The following is a 5,468-nucleotide window of genomic DNA, read 5'->3' as shown; positions in this document are numbered from 1 at the left end:
TACTATAGCACCAACCTTACTATTTTAAAGACAACTAGTGTTGATTGAATAATTCATTTAGTGTTGACCTCTTTGAAACACATCCATCACTAAAAAGTAGTATTAACAGGTCACTTTTCCTGACTTAGCAGAGTAAAAGAAACCACCTCCTGCTGGAATGTCTTGCTAACATTGCGGTGCACTTCAAAAGCCTTCTACTAATTGTAAGGTTGGATTAAAACTGGTATTTTAAGTGGCTAAGTGATGTCAGTGACAAAAACACTTCAGCAAGAGTAGTCAGCTATTGCTAAGCAGTCAGCTCTACTGGGAAACAAAAGTCTGGAGAAGGGAATAGCAAGTATTATATATTGTTATCGTTGTTTTAAATTGAGAATGATCTCAGCCTTAAAAGATGTTTTACCAAGACGTTGTTGAAAACTTAGCCATGTTAATGTCAGCCATTCTGCTAGAATGCCTTTTGTCTGGCTGCTACTAGAAAATGTATAAATAACAAATAAACAGACTGAAGTCTTAAAGATTGAAATAATTTCCCCTTAAGGTTATGAAAGAAATGGATTTTAGGGATAACTTTAAAAATACAGTATTGTGTTAACTTCAAGAATATTATCTGCATGGAAGGAACTAACAGCAGAGTTTGGCAGGATGCCTTAAGTTAACTTCCCCTTTTCTTTAGAATGAGAATAAATTTTGAAAATGAAATAGTGTTTTGAGGATCAAATGGCAAAGCTTTTAGTGGATGTTGCTTTTGATATGTTCTTATCTATGACATGTTGATCTTAGACAACAGGCCATAGATCCAAGAAATATTAAATTAAATAATATTTGCAGAAATATTCCAAACTTTGCTAATTGGAAGTAGCAAATATTACTACTTTAAAGTAGTATTTGGAAGTTAGAATGACATAAAATATTTTTATAATTTTTTTTAGTGCTATGTAATCATAAAATAAGAACTTAAAGAAAATATCACTATCTTTTGAAATACAATAACCTAATAATTATTTTTGTCATTAAACAAAAATACTAACAGCTAATGCTTCTTGGATGTTTACCATGTGCCAGACACTAGCACTATGAAATTTAAGTGTATTCCAGAATTATATTTTGACAACAATCTATTGGTGTAGGTATTATTGCTATCAGCATTTCACAAATGAAGGCATTGAGACACAATCTGGTTCCAAAATGTTTGTACTGACATTCTTTTGAGGATATGGGCTTTGGAGACAAAGAAACTGATATTCAAATCTTGCTCTGCCATTTAGTAAAAGTGTCAGCCACTTTCAACAAGTTACTGAACCTCTGTAAACATGAATTTCTTTATTTGCAAAACTCACAAGCTTTTGGTGAGAGAAAGTATAACTAGGAATGGAAATCACTTTGCATATTGTCTTTCTCCAGTGTCCAAAACATATCAGCAAATTTTATTATTCTTATATTGTTATTGTTATTATTAGATACAAAGAAAACATTTAGCACAATCTCAGGAATACAGTAGATGCTTAATAAATATTAGTTTTTAAAAATTTATCTTCAAAATTCATAATAGTCTGAATAGATAAGAGACAACCCCATAAGTGAAATGAAATCTGACTGTGATAGAATCCACAGGACTCTGAGAATGTGTCTGTGAGTGACCTCGAAATGAAAACCGTGGCACTATTTTTAACCCTGTTTCTAAATTTAACTGTGTCATAGTCTCATATCAGTCCTCTTATTGCCAGGGAGTTTGGTGTTCATTTAATATACACTGGGAACATTTCTCAGAGCATCAGCTTTCAAATCTTGGCAGTGAAACAGTTTCAATGACTATTCATATTTCCTATGTAGTAGAATTTAATAACAGATCTGTGGATTGGAGAAGGGAAGTGGGTAGGGTATCAGGGTATGAAAGATTTGTGACAGCTCTGATAAATTCCTTTCCTCCTTTCAAAAGCAAAAATCGCAAATCCCTTTTAAATTACTGAGAACATTACAACTGAATGCTCGCACTCTTTAAATCCAAGCATCATCAATGACTATTAAAATGAATGTAGTGCTAAAGTATATTTGAGATTCAGTGCTCTAAGAAAAAGTTCACTGGGAACCAGAAGATGCTCTTGCACTGTCTGATTAAGGATATCTGTATGAAAAACTAAATGATGCATCAACTTTGCAAGCTCAAATCAATTTAATTGATTTGTGTGTATTATTATCCTATTTGTTATGTTTATGTTTTCAATTGTCAAAAGCAGGATTTGCCAACTAAGGGCTGTGTTACATATACGGTAGTTAGAGGATGCTGAGTCTAATCATTAATCTATATCATATGGTGCTGGCCAAGAACATTAGTCTTCAGCAATGGAAAAGTAACAGTTTACAGAGTAGGTCTGCTGAGACATTAGCTCAGCAAATCCTGGAGGCTAATATACAGGTGATGTTACAATCCAAGGGCTAGGTTAGTTTCCAGAGTTTTCCAGTAAAATTCCAAAAGTTGACTGACGGTAAGCTGGCCCCTATTATGTTAGCCTAGCAAGTTGAAAAGTGATGTCAAAACAATTTCATCTGAATTAACTACTATTTGGGGCTAATTGCCATTAAAATTAATTTTTCTAAAAAGCTCTGTGTGATCTTTCTTCCTTCTTATAAGAAGTAGCCACGCATGGGCCGGGCGCGGTGGCTCACGCCTGTAATCCCAGCACTTTGGGAGGCCGAGGAGGGTGGATCACGAGGTCAGGAGATGGAGACCATCCTGGCAAACACGGTGAAACCCCGTCTCTACTAAAAATACATAAAAAATTAGCCGGGCGTGGTGGCAGGCACCTGTAGTCCCAGCTACTCGGGAGGCTGAGGCAGGAGAATGGCATGAACCCGGGAGGCAGAGCTTGCAGTGAGCCGAGATTGCGCCACTGCACTCCAGCCTGGGCAACAGAGCGAGACTCTGTCTCAAAAAACAAAACAAAACAAAACAAAACAAAAGTAGCCACCATATTAAATTGTTTTTTTCTTTAACATTTGTACTAAGCATCTTGTTGGAATAAAAAACTTAAATTACAAAATTTAATGATGGTATTTATTCCTTTATTGATGCTAACACATTTGAAATTTAAAGTTTGCATCTGTATAGGGGATTTTAAAACTTTTTTTGGTGTTATGTCTTTGATAAACATGAGAAAAAGAGAACATATATACCAAACTATTATGGATAACAAGCATTTTGATTAAAAAAAAAACAAAGTAACAACCTTATATTGGTTGACAAAGGCTGATTACAAAGAATATTTTATTTGCTAATATTCCTAAACTTTGTTTCACTGGGCGAGATAAATCAATTGAAACAACAAATAAAATTAAGGGCTTCACTTCTAAAAAATGTTATTATAATACTTAGCACACTTATATAAGTATACTTAGTACTTATATAACACTTAGTAGTGAAGAAGCCAATGAGAAGTAATCCTCCCATCTTCCCTAGGCTGAAGTGTAGTGATACAATCATGGCTGACTGCAGCCTTGACCTCACAGGCTCAGGTGATCCTCTCAACTCAACCTCCCGAGTAGGTGGGACTACAGGCGTGTGCCACCACACCTGGCTAACTTTTGTATATTTTATAGAGACAGGGTTTCACCATGTTGCCCAGGCTGGTCTTGAACTCCTGGGCTCAAGCAAAGCTCCCACCTCGGCCTCCCAAAGTCCTGGGATTATAGGCATGAGCCATCACACCTGACCCCTCATTTCCTACCTAAAACATTCTGGGAGATGAATATGTGATATGACGAGAAGCCCATTCTTCCAGTGAGAAAAATTAGGGTTACAAGTATATACAAAAATGGAATCCTGCTCTCCTGGTCAGGAAGTGATATCCATACAGGGTGATGTTGCTAATTTGAAAAACAGAAAAAAGTAAATGAACTGCAAGCAAGCAGCTGATCCATGGTCCAACAGGAGTTATGGCCAGCAAAGCAGTCACCAGCCACATGCACAGTGAGGCAAAGACCATGCCTCATGCATTGGAGTATCATGCATTGCAACCAAAGGGAGGACATTAGGGATAATGGACAGCAGGTGCCACCATTCTCTTCTTGGTGTTCTGCATCCCGAACAGAGTCTTTATTTTTTTTAAGGCTTATAATCAGTGTTTAATCTAATCTGACTGGAAAAAAGCAAGTTGTTTTCCCCTGGACTCAATTCCTCTGCCCGATTCTGGAGCTTTCTGCAGTATGTGAAACAAATATTTTAAGAAACTCGCCATTGTTTTTCAGAAAAAAATATACACAAATAACCAAGAATCTACTAGGGTAAGCCATTTGTCAGCTATAGTATACCTTACTGAAAGTGACTTTTGAATAATAGTAACTTGTAATGTTACACTGCATTGTAAGGAACATTTGTGGTATCGCAGTATAGAAGGATTTTTTTGGTGAATAGTTCTTGTTTTGTGTTCATCAAAAGATTAGTTTTTTTCAAAACTTATTTTTTTAAACAAAAAGCTCTTCTTCCTTCCTCTGAAATTCTCAAGCACCACTGGACATATTTTGATTATTTTTGGTGCCACCAGTTTGATAGTTTTTTCTTTAGGCACAATTCACTGACATACACGGCTTGAGACGAAAAAGGAATCTGCAAGAATTTCCCAAGACATTCATATATAGCATGTCTTAGAATTTTCATTTTCATTTGGCATTTTCCCACTCAACTAATTACATTATCACTCAATGTAAACTTTAAAAAGAAAGTTCTCAGTTAAAAAAAAGTGTTGAATTTCTTCTGCCTAACGACATAGATATTCCTATCATCTTTAAATAGAAGAAAAGTATATTTGTGCTTTTACATATCTGCAAATCATGTGTTTTTTCTCTCTTCTTCACTCTCTTTCTCCTTCACTCTTTGCATGTCTCTCCCCTCCCACCTCTCTTCCTTCCAACCCAAACCCATATCTCAACTTCCATCTGTCTCTGTCTCTATCTCTGTCTCTTCAATGACTTGTTTCTGTAGCATACAGGGTCTTTACTAACCTATGCAATGATAATTGATGCTGCAAAGTTTATTATCCTTTTCTAGGTTGTTGCTATCCATGGAGGTTTTTGGCATTTTATAATTCTCCATCAGACATACCTATTATGTAAATTTCTCATCTCTTTCTCAGGCTATAACTTATGCAGAAAGTCTGCCAAATACAAAAGTTGGCCAATTGTAACGCGATTTGAAAATGTGGTAATGAGCCCATGCTATCAGCGTATATTTATAAGCAAATACTCTATTTCATCAATCTAAGATGTCGTTGATTAAAAGGCACACCATTATGTGTACTACTAAGAAAGAAAACGTGTTTCTAATTAAATTGGACAAAACATGAATTGTACCACGCATTCCAATTTCACGGATGAAAAATGTGGAGAAGGGGAGCACCGCAGAACTGATATAATGTGGTTAGCTTATATACATTTATGTGCCTTTTCCCCTTCTATTACTTTTAGTGTAACTATCA

Source organism: Homo sapiens, chromosome 3 (assembly GCF_000001405.40).
Source record: "Homo sapiens chromosome 3, GRCh38.p14 Primary Assembly".
Lineage (NCBI taxonomy): Eukaryota > Metazoa > Chordata > Mammalia > Primates > Hominidae > Homo > Homo sapiens.
This window is presented reverse-complemented; position numbering follows the sequence as displayed.